Source organism: Homo sapiens, chromosome 11, assembly GCF_000001405.40.
Source record: "Homo sapiens chromosome 11, GRCh38.p14 Primary Assembly".
In the NCBI taxonomy this organism is placed as follows: Eukaryota; Metazoa; Chordata; class Mammalia; order Primates; family Hominidae; genus Homo; species Homo sapiens.
The window spans coordinates 113571920-113588039 of NC_000011.10; the positions used below are offsets into that span (position 1 = coordinate 113571920).

General features: G+C 45.1%; 1 long non-coding RNA gene across 2 annotated transcripts in view, besides 3 other annotated features; it reads right to left on the minus strand.

The window, feature by feature from the left end:
* Positions 5965-6517: an enhancer, noted in NCBI's record as "NANOG-H3K4me1 hESC enhancer chr11:113448606-113449158 (GRCh37/hg19 assembly coordinates)". NCBI's record gives its function as "activates a minimal SCP1, AML or CMV promoter by ChIP-STARR-seq in naive H9 embryonic stem cells {active_cell/tissue: H9 hESC(naive)}" and the evidence as "EXISTENCE:reporter gene assay evidence [ECO:0000049][PMID:30033119]".
* Positions 13008-13302: a silencer, noted in NCBI's record as "tiled region #5622; HepG2 Repressive non-DNase unmatched - State 24:Quies, and K562 Repressive DNase matched - State 13:Ctcf". NCBI's record gives its function as "represses a minimal TATA promoter and a strong SV40 promoter by Sharpr-MPRA in HepG2 and K562 cells {active_cell/tissue: HepG2 | K562}" and the evidence as "EXISTENCE:reporter gene assay evidence [ECO:0000049][PMID:27701403]".
* LOC107984390 (uncharacterized) overlaps positions 14481-16120 on the minus strand; it is a 100111-nt gene continuing 98471 nt past the window's right edge. The window contains exon 3 of one of the 2 annotated variants that reach the window (XR_001748391.2): positions 14481-14854. This is a non-coding gene — a long non-coding RNA (uncharacterized LOC107984390). Of the gene's footprint in view, positions 14855-15661; positions 15784-16120 lie in introns of those variants that run through there. The other variant, XR_001748390.2, reaches the window with a different exon arrangement.
* Positions 15585-15634: an enhancer, noted in NCBI's record as "active region_5540". NCBI's record gives its function as "activates an Ori minimal core promoter by ATAC-STARR-seq in GM12878 lymphoblastoid cells {active_cell/tissue: GM12878}" and the evidence as "EXISTENCE:reporter gene assay evidence [ECO:0000049][PMID:35858748]".

Sequence of the window (16120 nt, forward strand, 5' to 3'; positions counted from 1 at the left end):
AACTAGGCAAATGAAAACCAGAAAAAAAAGGAAAGAAAAGAAAAAACAAAGTTAGTAGTAACAAAATAGAAAAACAGAAAATTATACCTAAAAGGAATTCTAACTATGATTCAGCACATGGCTTAACTATAAATAACATTCATATAATCATAATAATATAAACAATGAATAATTATTTAATCCAACAAACTGTGATGTAGCTATATTAGAAATGAGAGAGGAAGTGGGAAGGAACAGAGTGAAAGAGCCAAGTCCACATTTTTTATTACGGAAACTCTATAAATAATATGCAACACTTTAAAACATTAAGAAAAAGCAATGCGAATGTGTTGTTTAGAAATTAAGAGAAAAATGCCCAAAAAACTAAAGAAATTCAAAGTGGTTGCTTTGTCTGAAACTGAGGCTGGAGAGGACTGGGGAATTTTGCTTTTCAGTATTTTAAAATATAAATCTCTTAGGATGTTTGACATTTATGGCTGTACATTTATATTTATACACATGTGTTAGTAATAAAAACAAAAACTAAGTGAAAGGGAAAAAAAACAACACAGTAAGTAGCTACACAGAGGAGCTTATGAATAGATACCTACAAGACAAATGGCTAAAACAGGGGAATGTTAAAGAAGGGGTATTTGCGGTTTGGAATGAGTTTTGCAGTGACGTTATTACACATACATGGATACAAAAATTGTGGTATCTCAACTTTTTGAAGGAAGTGAAGATGATGTGTTTTGGAAAATTGGGATAAATGACTCAGAATATTACCTCTAATGATGGGGAAGAAAACACTAATGTTGAAAATGCATGAAAAGAGTTTAAATGAAAAGATTTCATGAAATGATGAGGGTGGGGGAAACTGCATTTCTAAGTTCACATGTGATTTTATATAATATATGACTTTAATAATGCATATGTAAGTGAACTAATTGATAAGCTAACTTTAAGTTGGAAAAATATGAGATGGAAATACACAGGAATATGAAGGAAAAGCAGGGTCAAAAACACACCATGCAAATGCATGTTTGAAGCTGAAATGCAGGGTAAAAAGTGTTAATCAAACCAAACAAAAAAGTGCCTTATGTAAAAGGTACAGTTCACATTGAAGGTCTAACATCCTTGAATATCTGTTCAATAATAATGTAACATCTCAATTCATAAAATAAAAACTAAAAATATTAATGAGAAATGGACACACATTTGTTGACTAATACCCACTATTGGCAAGGGTGTGGAACAACAGACACTCACATTTTAGGGTTGACAGAGTAGGCATTCTATGAAGGGCAATTTAAAGTGTTTCTCTAATGTACCAGAATACAAATCTTTGGCCCAGAAAGTCTGTTTCTATAAATTTATCCTTCAGGATAGACTTGTACATTGTGAAAGGCCATTGCAAAAAACATTTATTACAGCATTGTTTATAATGAAAAAACGTTGAAAACAGTCTAAATCCTCTCTACTCAAAGGGTGGTCAAGAAACCAGAAGCACCAGCATCACATGAGAACTTGTCAAAAATGCAAACTCTTGGGTCCTACCCTACAGAATCAGCCTCTACGTTTCTTTTTTTTTTTTTTTTTAAGTTCTGGGATACACGTGCAGAACGTGCAGGTTTGTTACACAGGTACATATGTGCCATGGTGGTTTGCTGTGCCTATCAACCAGTCATCTAGGTTTTAAGCCCCACATGAATTAGGTATTTGTCTTAATGCTCTCTCTTGCCTTGCTGCACACCCCCCGACAGGCCACAGTGTGTGATGTCCCCCTCCCTGTGTCCATTTGTTCTCCTATTCTTGCCCCAATTAAGTCAGTGTTTTTCCTCCTTCTCATTCCCTGGTGATCGTGGTTGGCACTGATCATTTTCACCTCACTCAGCTCCTGGAGGAGGTAGTTAAAGAAAGGAACTGGGAAAGAAGTTACTCCATAGTCCCTAGGTCCCACTAAAAAATAAATAAATAAATAAATAAATAAATAAATAAATAAATAAATAAATATGCAGCCCAAAGCAGCCCTTACCTTGTCCATATTTCACAGCTTTGTCTGATCTGATGCCCACATAGGACATAGACATGGAATGATCTAATAGGTCAGAGTCCTCCCCAAACTCTCTCTCTCTCAAACATATATGCTCACACACACACACACACACACACACACACACACACACTTTGTGACATTTTCCATCCCTTCCCACCACCATTTATTCCCAGACTAATAGGTATCAGTGCCTCCCCACACCCAGACACAACATATACACACAGGAGGCACAGCAGCCCTGCCAGGTCCCCATAGAGGGCTGGATGTCAAAGTCAGCATTTGTCACTTGCAATTATCTTCTCCTGGGTCAATAAAATAACAATCATTTTGTAAATGACCAGGAGCTAACAGCCCCTAAGAGCTGGCTCAGAGGCAAGTATTAATTACGCTCCAGGGCCCAAGTCTCTTCCCACAGGGCTCAGCGCTGAGCCCTGAGTCCTGGGAGCAGCCCCCTTCAGACAGTAGGAGGGAGGAAGGAGAGTAAAGAGTGATTAATGGCACAATTTACTTCTTCTTTTAGCCAAATGATTGACAGGAGGGAAAGGTAAAGTGACCCAGCTCTCCCATGCAGGCCTAGCAATCGATCCCACAGGCCAATCTCTGCCTGCACCCCGGAAGCCTACGCCTTGTTATGAGTGATGAGGAATTAAATATTGGGAGACTGAGAAAGTGATTTCACATAACCTTTTAGTCCGGCATAATGTTCCAATTATCTGTTGCTGTGTAACAAACCACTCCAAACTAAGTGGCCTGATTTTATTATGCTCACAGCTTCTATGGATCAAGAATTTGGACAGGGGACAAGATGAAAAGTTTACCTCTTCTCCATAATGCCTGGCATGAGAAATTCAAACAGCTGGGGGCAATGTGAACAGCTGGGGGTTGAATCATCTGGAGGCTTCTTCACACTCATGTCTGGGACCTGGGCTGGGATGACTTGAAGGTTGGGCCCAGCTAGGACTGTTGCCCTGGTACCTACATGTGGTTTCTCCATCCGGCTTGGACTCCCCATAACATGTTAACTGGGGTCCAAGAGGGAGCATCCCCAGAGAACGCACCCAGAGGGTAAAAGTTCCAAGACAGCCAGGCAGAAGCTGCATGCCCTTTCATGACCTACTCTCAGGTCTTCACTTCCTCTGTATTCCATTGGCCAAAGCAGTAACAACCCCATACAAATTCAGACAGAAGGGGACATAGATGCCTCCTTTTAATGACAGTAGTGTCTAAGAATTTGAGGCTTTCATTTTTTAAATCATGGAACATGGGATCCTTTAAAATGGGGCCCTTCTAGAACAGCTGTGTGAATTAGCTGAGACTAAAGAAATAAGGCAAGGAGCTAAAATATAAACCAAAGTTTTTAAAAGATTGAATCAGCCTAACCTTTCCTTGAAGCAATCAGACCTTGATCTAAGCCCCCTCCATCTGTAAAAGGGAATAATAGCCCTTTCTCTACCTACCTAGGAGTAGGAATACATTGAAGCAAGTTAGAAATTCAGTCTAAGGCCAGCTCACCAGTGGAGTTCAAGCAAGCATGCTGGGCTCTGGTAGAGTCAACATGGCAGTGTGCAGCCTGGCTTTGCAGTATTAGACCAAATAAAGAAATAGATGAAGGCAAGCTGATCTGGTTTTTGGGGGTGGGGCCTTCAGACCCAACCACCACCACCATCTTCCCTATAACTCTTGTCTCTGCCATTTGGTTAGCAACTATTCTTTCAGATTGCTCTTTCCATTTTGACTAGCTCTCATTTAGAAGCTTTTGGACCACCCCACCTTTCACCTGGCCCATGGCAGAGTCAGAGAGCCTTCTGTACTTTTTTTTTTTTTTTTTTTTTTTGAGACTCTGTCTCTCTCTGTTACCCAGGCTGGAGCACGGTAGTATGATATTGGCTCACTGCAACCTCCACCTCCCTGGTTCAAGCAATTCTCCTACCTCAGCCTCCCAAATAGCTGGGATTACAGGCGCCCACCACCATGCCTGGTTAATTTTTGTATTTTTAGTAGAGATGGGGTTTCACCATGTTGGCCAGGCTGGTCTCCAACTCCTGACCTCAGTTGATCCACCTGCCTCAGCCTCCCAAAGTGCTGGGATTACAGGTGTGAGCCACCGCGCCTGGCCCTTCCGTACTTTCATATCCACAGTGAATGCCAGCACTGAGCATTTTGGTTACTGTATTGCTTGTGACTCAACTAGGCCAGATGCTCCTCAGCAACAGGGATTGGTTCCTCACGGTGCACACAGCCCAGTACTTTTAAATATTTGTGTAATTTAGTGCACAAAACAAAAGATGTTTCTTTTTGGTCCAAGCTCCACTCTCAGGGAATATCCAGCATAAGCCTGACTCTTCTCCCGCTAAATGGGCCTTTGGGGAATGCACTTTCACGTCAGGCTAGCCAGTCCCTGTTCCTGAAACCCTGGCTTCAAGTCCTCTTCCCTCCTGATCTACCCCTACTTCAACCTACACAGCCATCCCATGCACTTGTTTCCACATAGTCCACTTGGGATCTCATTCATGTCTTGCCACACTCCAGATTCCCTCTACATGCAGCATTCCCATGGCCAACACCCCTAGTGACCTTAGCCCTCAACTAAAGCTGGACTAGGAAGCGTGATGCCATAGCAAGATGGATGAAGGGGAAACAGAAGACAATGATTACCTCTGGGACCTTGGATAAGTCACTTTGGCCCTTGGGACTCAACTTCCTAATCAAGAGCCCTTCTAGCTCTAAGGTTGAGTGAAGCCAATAAATATGAGACCTTCCCTCCATGTAACAAACTGTTATCATATGCAACATGCCAGGCTCTGGGCTGGGAGCTGAGACCTCATGGCAAACCAGAGACAGTTCATATAGGGAGAAGCATCCCATACCCCTTCCCACACTCCTGCCAGCCCATGAAATAGGAGCTGATACCTGCTTATAACTACTAAACAGAGACTGCTACTTCCTCTTCACTTTCCCTCACTTTTTCTGCCCTCAAAAAAAAGAGTGGCTATCCAATCATTTTGAGATTGGAAAAAGGGTTAAGCAGATATGTGATGGCCACATTTTGACTCACTTTTTTGGAATCGCCTGCTGGAGTCCAGACACATCCTTCCTTCCCATTTAGTAACGCCTCTGAGGCAGACTTTGCCCTGCACCTGAGGCCTGCAGTTTTCCTGCTGTGCTGCTCTGTCTAGGAGTCTAAACTCAATCCGGGAGGAAAGGAGTAGGAATCTCATTTTGTCTTTGGACCAAAGTCACTCTCTCCAACATAGTTCTATTAATAATAAAACTGGCATGGCACGGTGGCCCTATCCAACTCTGTGCTTATCTCCCAACTCAAAACTCACAGCTAGATGGCATGATTCATTATCATCTCCTCTTCCCCCTCAATTCCCAAAGCCTTCATTCTCATGGCAGGAAAGCCAGACCAGCCAAGGCAGCTGTAATCCAGCATAACCAATGTGCTGTTAGGGATCAGCCCACGCTGCTGTGAGAACACAGAAGGCTCACCCAGCCCAGTCCGGCAGGTCAGAGAAGGCTTCCTGGAGAAGCAGAGGTCCAAGAAACAAGACAGGGAGCAGGAGCTCAGCAGGTGACAAGGGGGCAGGGACTGTACCCAGAAGATGTGCATGGGATGGATGCATGGTGCCCACTCTGGATGGGTGCTCAAAAGAAACAGCAAGTGCTGCATCTGCTTGTAGGGTAGAGACAGGATCTGACGAGGGCAAGGCTGGGCACAGAGAGCCCATTCAGAAGCCACCACAATCACCTAGGTGGGAGCCGATGGTGGTGTGGACTCAGGCAATGATCATATGGAGGGAGAGCTGGGGAAGAAGTTGACACATAATCAGGAGGTTAATTTATGAGACTTGGTGACTGACATGCTGAAAAGGTGAGGGAGCAAGTGGAGCTGAACCACAGTGGGGTGGCAGGGCACATTTCTCCTTGAGCATCTGGCCGTCAGCCAGGCACCTCTGCGGGCAGCCTGTAGGGACCCAGGGATGCTCCACCCCTCAGCCACTACCTGTTTCTGGCTTGAGTCTGCTCTTCCTGTTCTGGCTGGGGCTGAGAAGGGAAAAGGGGGGAGAGAGGAGGGTGCAGCACCCTGATACTGAAGGTGCATTTTTATTACCTCACTAATGCTCTCCTAATTAATATACCTAGAGGCTGCGCCTGCCACTTCACTACTTTCACTGCTGATTTGCCCCTTGAGACAAAAGGAAATTGGAATTAAGAGGAGACAATGGAATTGCCAGCAGGACTATTAGCTTCAATGAAGCTAATGAAGGGAGTGGGAGGGGGAGGAGAGGAGAGCCTGGGGGGCACTATGACTCACTCTAGGAGCTGCCAGATGGACAGATGGAGACTAGGGGAGGGCTGTGACTGGAAGGACTCTGCCTTTCTGGGCTCCAGAAGTCCTGGGGGTACCCCAAGGTCAGGGGTTCCCAAGGTCAGGAAGTGTGATCCGATGGGAAGAAAACAGGAATTAGAAGTTGGACGGGGACTTCCTCCAGCAAAGGGAGCACAGAAGGGTGACAGAAAGAATGCAGGAAGATATAGAGGGGCTGCTTCATCCCTGAGCCCCTGGAGAGCAGTCCAGGTATTGGGCAGTCCCCAGTACCCTCAGGCAGAAGCAGACCCCAGTCCTCTGCCCCTTTAGGGGCAGATAAAGGGGTTGCATTTCTCCAACAGGGGGCCCAGCTGAAACTCTACCTGCCCTCTGGTAGGTAGCAAGCTCAGTCTTCTACCCCAGGCACCTGTCCATAGACAGCCAGATTTCAGGACTCAGCTCAGGTCCCTAAAGCTCAAAGGATACAACGTGGATGGAAAAAGCAAAAATATTTGCAGCCCAAGCCAAAAGAAAAAAGAGAAGCAACATTCAGGTCAGGGCACATCTGCAGGATTGTGTGCACACACACACACATATATACAGGCTCTCACACACTCACTACATGCCCACACAGCTAATCCACCCACATGCACACATACACCCAAACTCAAATGCATGTAGGCACACACACGCACACCTGTGCACTCACACTTGCAGGCTCACCAATCTGTCTTAGGAGGGGCTATCACTAATTTGGTAATGACTGTCTCCTCTGCACATCTTTCACAGGCCAGCTCCCCTTCCCCACGGCTTCAGGCTGGGTTTGTTGCCCCAGACATCTGGCTGGTGTTCAGCCCTCCCTGCTTTCTGCATCGCTGGACTACTTGGAGGAAAGGCAGAGGAAAATGGTCACTCCAGCAGTGCTGCCAGGACACCAGGACCCTGCTCCATACACCTAAACCTCAGCTTGCCCTTCCCGTGGAAATAAGGAGATGAAGCACTCAGAAAACACAATGCAGTTTCATTTTCAGGGTGGGATTTTTTCCTTCTATGTATCTCATGAGTCACTAGATTAGCACCTTTCCAATTACTGGGAGGCAAAAGCCCTATTATCATAGAAACCCTCCTGCAGAGTGACGGCTCTATTCTTTCTGACGGCAGCAGCCAGTCCCACAGAGAGCTGCAGAGCTCAGCAAGCTGGGAGCCTGAAGTTCCAGGTAACTTCATGTCCTCGTTTCAAAAGTGAAGTTTAAAGAACTCACATCACAGCCTTAGCAGACTTCTCACACTCCACAGAACACGCCAGGACAGCCCAGGAAGGAAGGCTGAGGAAGGTTCAGGAGCACATCCCAGAGGCTGCACACAGGGCCCGGGGCTGCCTCGAACACACTCTGCAAGGGTCTGCAGCACTGAACGTTCTGTCTGAGCTGAGGGAGAACTGCATGACACAGAGAGCATGTGGCTCTAAACTATTCTGGGAAGAGTCACTGGAGATCCTCGAGAGGCCTCGAATTAAAGTAGTCGGCCTCACAATCAGGTGCCCTGTCCAGAAGGGGTCAGATGAACAACTGGAGAGGCCAGACTTCAGTCAGGTTCAAGGCGTTATGCATCTTAAAGCCACACCATGGGCAATGTGCTGAGTAGAAACCTTGACCTGAAATCAAGATGTTGTATACTCTCTTCCTGCCATACTGTTCTCTTTTCTCAGTGGAGATTACATACGGATCCATTAAGACAGCCAGCTCCACCCAGCTGGTAGCTTCAGGCAGGGATGGACCTCTCAGCTGTGCAAGGAGCCTGGCTTCTTCCCCATTATCCTGATGCCCATGTCCCCAACACCCTTCTCCCATGATCAGCCCTGGACCCCAGTAGCAGGTGAACAAACGTATCTGGACAGTTTATTGTGTGCCAGATGTGATACAAGATGCCAGGTAGATGAGATGAATAACAGTAGCAATAGACACTCTATGTGGAGCACTTAACCTGAGCCAGGCATTGCATCTAGATTATTCCATTACCTCCTCCCACAGTCCTGGAAGGGGATGTTGTTATCTCCACCTTACGAACGAAGAAACTGTACCTCAGAGAGTTTAAGGAATTCGACCCGCAGGATTCAAACCCAGGAAGAGTTTGAATTAAAATCTGTGTTCTTACCTCTAAGATATGTCACTTTCCAACATATAAGTGCAGGAATTGGCCTCCCAAAATCTCAGATTGCTGGGCATCTTGATGGTAGCACCCTTCCTCAGACTGCTGTCCCTCTCAAGCTGTAGGTCATCTAGGTTGACAGGTGGTTAACCTGAGACCATGACCCTCCAGAGTGTAAGGGACTTCCTGTTCCATGGGTTTCTGGAGCCTGGGGAACCTCAGCCTCACTGAGGACATAGCCTTCGTAAAGAAGGGAACATCTGTATGAGAGGCAGGGACAGCTTGCTTCCTTGTCCTGTTTCCTCCCTTTTTCTCAAGGCTTAAAAGATGTGCAAGGTCAGCTCAAGAAGGGTAAAAGGACAACAGCCTGAGGCAGAGACACAACTAGGAGCCAGGAGAACTAGGAGGGGTCTGAGGCTTCATGGCACTCATGAGCCACAGACCTTGATAGGCCCCTGTTTATCCCACATTCCCCCAGTTTATATGTTCCAAAGGGAGTTTTAGTAGCAATTTTAGTGCAGTGTTGTCCTTTTGCTTTGGGGCTTGGTGTTTGCCTGTTAACAACCTTCTTCCCACCCACCCTCTCCCCTTTTAATCCATAACTGAATTCCATGCTGGAATTAGGAGGGTCTGCCTCTTTCTGCTATCACCAATGTCTTTGGGTGCTCTGTCTAGGTTTCTCACCAGCTCCAGGGCAGCAGACCTGTGTTGCTCAGTAGTTTGCTGTTCCCCAGCAAGACAGTCACTGCCACTCTCCAAACTCAGGTCAGAGATGGACATGGGGATACTAAGCTACTCAACACAGAAAGAGATCAATTTTTTTATTCTCTATGTAGTGATTTAGCAATGAAACTCCTCTTTTCAGAGACACAAATAAGACCCCAAAGATGTACTGATGGCCACGGTTTCTAACATTTTTCAGAACTAGTTTTCCCTTATGCAAGAAGGCCATTTATTAATAGTAACATTTAATTACTTTGTATAAATAGCCGACTCCATTAAGGAAATAAGAAATGGCAGCAGTGCCTACCACATTAATTGTTTTGGTTGGTTTTTGTTGTTTTTCGTTTTTTTTTTTCTCTCTCTCTCTCTCTCTCTCTTCCCCCCACACCCCCCGCCAAGCTATAGCTTCTGTAGCTTAGTGGATGTTAATTGCATAATTAGAATTAATTGCATTAATTAATTAGTTAGAACATTTAATATTCCCCCAATGGTTCCTCTGAAGTCATTTGTGCTTAAGTCTAACTCTACCAAGGAATAAAAGATCTCCATAAATATTGTGGTAAAAATTTTAGTTATATTTCAATCACTCAGTATTTATTTGCATTAGTTAGGAAAGCCTCCTATTCTTGATTGCCTATCTCAACTTCTCAGCTCTTTCTTAGAGCATTCATTAGCCAAATAACCATGTTGCTACTTGACAGACTTTAGATTGCAGCTTCATGGAAGCCTGAAATGTCTCAGGGACAGGCCAAACCAGAGAGCAAGTGTTACACAATCGCTCCAGCTAAATCGGACAGTCTTCTCTTTCCACCATGTGATGGTTAATACTGAGTGTCAACTTGATTGGATTGAGGGACACAATGTATTAATCCTGGGTGTGTCTTTGTGGGTGTTGCCAAAAGAGATTAACATTTGAGTCAGTGCGCTGGGGAAGGCAAATTCACCCTTAATCTGGTGGGCACAATATAATCAGCTTCCAGCAAATATAAAGCAGGCACAAAAACCTGAAAAAAGAAAGATGGGCCCAGCCTCTCAGCCTACATCTTTCTCCTATGCTGAATGCTTCCTTCCCTCGAACATCAGACTCTGGGTTCTTCAGTTTTGGGACTCAGACTGGCTTTCAGCTTGCAGACAGCCTACTGTGGAACCTTGTGATCGTGTAAGTTAATACTTAATAATTATATATATATATATGTCTATATATATAACCACGAATACTAATATATACTATTAGTGTGTGTGTATATATATATACACACTAATATTTGGGGAATGCACTTTCACTTCAGGCTAGCCAGTCCCTGTTCCTGAAACCCTGGCTTCAAGTCCTCTTCCCTCCTGATCTACCCCTACTTCAACCTACACAGCCATCCCATGCACTTGTTTCCACATAGTCCACTTGGGATCTTGTTTATGTCTTGCTACACTCCAGATTCCCTCTATATGCAGCATTCCCATGGCCAACACCCTTAGTGACCTTAGTGTGTGTGTGTGTGTGTGTGTGTGTGTGTGTGTATATATGTATATATATGTGTGTGTGTATATATATATACACACACACTGTTAGTTCTGTCCCTCTAAGAGAACCCTGACTAATATAGATTTTGGTACCAGGAGTGGTTCTAGAGGAACAGTATATTAAGGATGGAGTTCTTTCATTGGTTTTGGGGTTTCTGGAGTTGGCTGCTTAATATGATTAGGCCCCAAAATGCTAAGGACTCTACTTCTAATAGTATGGAGAACACTGATAGTCCTTGGCTATCTGTGTGCCAGAGGTTGGGAAATAAATCTGACTAAAATTCAGGGAACTTCTACCTCAGTAAAATTTCTAGGGGTCCTGTGGTATGGGGCCTGCCAAGATATTCCTTCTAAGGTGAAGGATAAGTTGCTGCATTTGGCCCCGCCTACAACCAAGAAAGAGGCACGATGCCTAGTGGGCCTATTTGGATTTTGGAGGCAACACATTCCTCATGTGGGTGTGTTACTCCAGCCCATTTATCAAGTGACCCGAAAGGCTGCCAGTTTTGAGTGGGGTCCAGAACAGGAGAAGGCTCTGCAACAGGTCCAGGCTGCTGTGCAAGCTGCTCTGCCACTTGGGCCATACGACCCAGCAGATCCAATGGTGCTTGAGGTGCCAGTAGTAGATAGGGATGCTATCTGGAGCCTTTGGCAGGCCCCTCTAGATGAATCACAGTAGAGGCCTCTAGGACTTTGGAGCAAGGCCCTGCCATCTTCTGCAGATAACTATTCTCCTTTTGAGAGACAGCTCTTGGCCTGTCACTGGGCTTTGGTGGAAACTGAACATTTGACTGTGGGTCATCAAGTCACCATGCGACCTGAACTGCCTATCACAAACTGGGTGCTTTCTGAGTCATCAAGCCATAAAGTGGGTTGTGCACAGCAGCATTCCACCATCAAATGGAAGTGGTGTATATGTAATGGGGCTCAAGCAGGCCGTGAAGGCACAAGTAAGTTACATGAGGAAGCGGCTCAAATGTCCATGGTCTGCACTCCCGCCACCCTTCCTTCTCTCCCCCAGCCTGCATTGATGGCCTCACGGGGAGTCCCCTATGATCAGGTGAGAGAGGATGAGGAGACTAGGGCCTGGTTCACAGATGGCTCTGCACGATGTGCAGGCACCACCCGAAAGTGGACTGCTGCACCACTACAGCCGCTTTCTAGGACATCCCTGAAGGACAGCAGTGAAGGGAAATCTTCCTAGTGGGCAGAACTTCAAACAGTGCACCTGGCTGTGCACTTTGCATGGAAGGAGAAATGGCCAGATGTGCAATTATATACTGATTCATGGAGTATAGCCAATGGTTTGGCTGGATGGTCAGGAACTTGGAAGAAGCATGATGGGAAAATTGGTGACAAAGACATTTGAGAAAGAGGTATGTGGACGGATGCCTCTGAGTGGAAAAAAAAAAAAACTGTGAAGATATTTGTATCCCATGTGAGTGCTCACCAATGCGTGACCTCAGTGGAGGAGAAGTTTAATGATCAAGTGGATAGGATGACCCATTCTGTGGACACCACTCAGCCTCTTTCCCCAGCCACTCCTGTCATTGCCCAATGGGCCCATGGTGGCAGGGATGGAGGTTACGCATGGGCTTGGCAACATAGACTTCCACTCACCAAGGCTGACCTAGCTACAGACACTGCTGAGTGCCCAATTTGCCAGCAGCAGAGACCAACACTGAGCCCTCGATATGGCAGCATTCCTCAGGGTGATCAGCATGCTACCTGGTGGCATGGTGATTATATTAGACCACTTCCATCATGGAAAGGGCAGAGGTTGTCCTCACTGGAATAGACACTTACTCCGGATATGGGTTTGCCTATCCTGCACGCGGTGCTTCTGCCAAGACTACCATCATGGACTCACAGAATGCCTTATCCACCGTCATGGTATTCCACACCGCATTCCTCTGACCAAGGCACTCACTTTATGCTTAAAGAAGTGCGGCAGTGGGCTCATGCTCATGGAATTTACTGGTCTTATCATGTTCCCCACCATCCTGAAGCAGCTGGATTGATGGAACAGTGAAATGGCCTTTTGAAGTCACAATTACAACACCAACTAGGTGACAATACTTTGCAGGACTGGGGCAAACTTCTCTAGAAGGCTGTGTATGCTTTGAATCAGAGTCCAATATATGGTACTCTTTCTCCAACAGCCAGCATTCACCTGTCTGGGAATCAAGGGGTGGAAGTGAAAATGGCACACTCACCATCACCCCTAGTGATCCAGTAGCAAAATTTTTGCTTCCCTGTTCCCACTACATTACGTTCTGCTGGCCTAGAGGTCTTAGTTCCAGAGGGAGGAACACTGCCACCAGGAGACACAACAATGATTCCATTAAACTGCAAGTTAAGATTGCCACCTGGACACTTTGGGCTTCTCCTATCTTTAAGTCAACATGCTAAGAAGGGAGTTACGGTGTTGGCTGGGGTGATTGACCCGGACTATCAAGACGAAATCAGTCTACTACTCTACAACGGAGATAAGAAAGAGTAAGTATGGAATATAGGAGATCCACTAGGGCGTCTCTTAGTATTACCATGCCCTGTGATTAAGGTCAATGGGAAACTACAATAGCCTAATCCAGGCAGGACTACAAATGACCCACACCTTTCAGGAATGAAGGTTTGGGTCACTCCACCAGGGAAAAAAAAAAAAAAAAAAACACAACCTGCTGAAGTGCTTGCTGAAGGCAAAGGTAACCTAGAATGGGTAGTAAAAGAAGGTAGGCATCAATACCAGCTATGACCACGTGATCAGCTGCAGAAATGAGGACTGTAACTGTCATGAGTATTTCCTCCTTCTTTTGTTAAAAACAAAAGAATGTATACACTAGTACTAGAAAATATCTTCATTTTATTTCCTTTTCCTCTATCATGTGATATAAGATTTATTGACTTCACGTCAACATTTAAGTATTGTTAACTTTATGTAATAGTATTTGGGTTGGGGATTGGTGCATTTCTGGTTGTATGAAGGATAGTTGTATTATGTTAGTGTAATTATGACCTTATTATTGTCTTTATTTGAAGATTATATATGATCTCAGGAGATGTGTAGGGGTTCAAGTTGACAAGGGGTGGACTTGTGATGTCAACTTGATTGGATTGAGAGATACAAAGTATTAATCCTGGGTGTGTCTTTGTGGGTGCTGCCAAAAGAGATTAACATTTGAGTCAGTGAGATGGGCAAGGTAGATCCACCCTTAATCTAGTGGGCACAATCTAATCAGCTTCCAGCAAATATAAAGCAGGCAAAAAAAAGGTGAAAAAAGGCAGATGGGCCTAGCCTCTCCTACATCTTTCTCCCATGCTGGATTCTTCCTGCTCTTGAACATCAGACTCCAAGTTCTTCAGTTTTGGGATTCGGACTGGCTCTCCTTGCTCCTCAGCCTGCAGACAGCCTGGGATATGGTATATATATATCCCATATATATCATATATATATATGTATATCCTGTTAGTTCTGTCCTTCTAAGAGAACCCTGACTAATACACACCATATTTGCTGTGAACCAATAATAATAATAATAATATGAAATAACTATGTAATGCGGATATATAACTTACCAGGAACTATGCTGAGTGTGTTATATACATTATCTAATGTATTTCTCACATCAACTCTGGGAGAAATGTATTATTATGGCAGTTTTACTGGTGATGAATCTGACCAGTAAAACTATGTATTTTAAGGCAAATTGTATCATTTGCCTTAAAATTATATCATTTGCCCTGAAATGCATAGCTAGTAAACAGCAGAGCTGAGATTCAAACCCAGGCTGGTCTTGTTCCAAAGTTTATTTACTTACCTATGCCCTTCCATCTTGCTTTCCAATCTACCACAACCTAGGCCTAGAAGGGATGGCATATTGGGTCAGACCATGGTTCTTCCCAGGAGGTTTCAAGTCTCTAAAGATCACCCCCAATGGTTATTTTCTGAAGAAGGTACTCTCATGGGGTGTATTCTCTAAGCAAAATGCATGGAGCCTGCTCTGTCACCACTTACCTCCCTTATCAGCCATTCCGGCCAGTCTGGCCTTCTCTCCGGGTCCACTGAAGCCAAGATGGCGCCACTGCACTCCAGCCTGGGCAACAGAGAGAGGCTCCATCTTGAAAAAAAAAAAAAAGAGAGAGAGAGAGATTAGGGGTATATATTACAGGTAGAGAAAGACACTAGACACATGCACCCATAGAGAGATGACCAGTTGGGCATACACCAAGAAAGTGACCATCTGCAAGCCAAGGACAGAGGCCTCAGAAGAAACTAAACCTGACAACATTATGATCTTTGACTTCTAGCCTCCAGAACTATGAGCAAATAAATTTCTGCTTTTAAACCACCCAGTCTGTGGTATTTTGTTATAGTAGCCCTAGCAAACTAACACGGTGCTCTTCTATGGAGAAGGACTTGTTGAAGGTCTGGCATGATGGAGAGACCAGCTGGGACGCTCACATGCACAGATCAGATGCAGCTGCTACTACAAGTTATTTATTTATTATTTCCTCCCCTTTACCCAGAAAGCTCCAGTGCTCCTGAGGGGGTTGCATGGGGGTGAAGAGGAAGGGAGGTCTACAGGAATAAATACAGAAGGCCAGCCTCCCTGTTTAAGGTGAGTGCAGGGTCAGCTCCTAGGAGATGAAATGGTATTTGCAGTGGAGAAGTTGTTTATCCTGAGGCACCAAATGTTGTACTAGGCTGAACCAGGCAGTGGCGCCTCCAGCCTATCTTACCTTGGCTCAGACCAACTTGGGTCTGGGAGCATAGGCCCATGCTGCCAGCTCCCTGCCATCTCTGAGGCCCACATGCACAGCAGCAAAAGCAGGTAGACTAGAGGATAAAGCCCCAGCCAGGGACACCAATGATCAAAACATTCAGCTGGTTTCTTTTACATGATGTTGCCCAAGTGACTCACCTCTTTGTCATCATCTACTAAATGAGGTCCCCCTTCGTGTCTTCTTAGCTTGGTGTGACGGTAAGCATGATCATATCTCTGCAAGTGCTTTCAGAGGGCGCCCAAGGTCTCTGTAGTGCTGAGGACTATTGAAACTGTTGTGTTATTACTCTTTACAGGAAAGTGTGGTTAGAAAACTCAGAAAGATGACAGAAAAATCAAGAAGCAGACTGAGAAGACTTGGGGTCTTAGAGGCTGAAGAAACTCAGAAGGCCCAAAATGAAGTTGAACTTAGTTGTTATGGCCCAAGAACTGACTCTGGGTGGACAGAGGGGTCTCTACAGCCTTGAAATGTCATAGTCATTTACTCCTCCCCAGTTCCCACCCTCCAAAGAGTTCAGAGCTCTGTAAAGAGGGTAGAGGTTCATCTTGATTAGTCTCTGATTTTTAGAGAAAATAATCATTATCATGCCATGTTCTCTG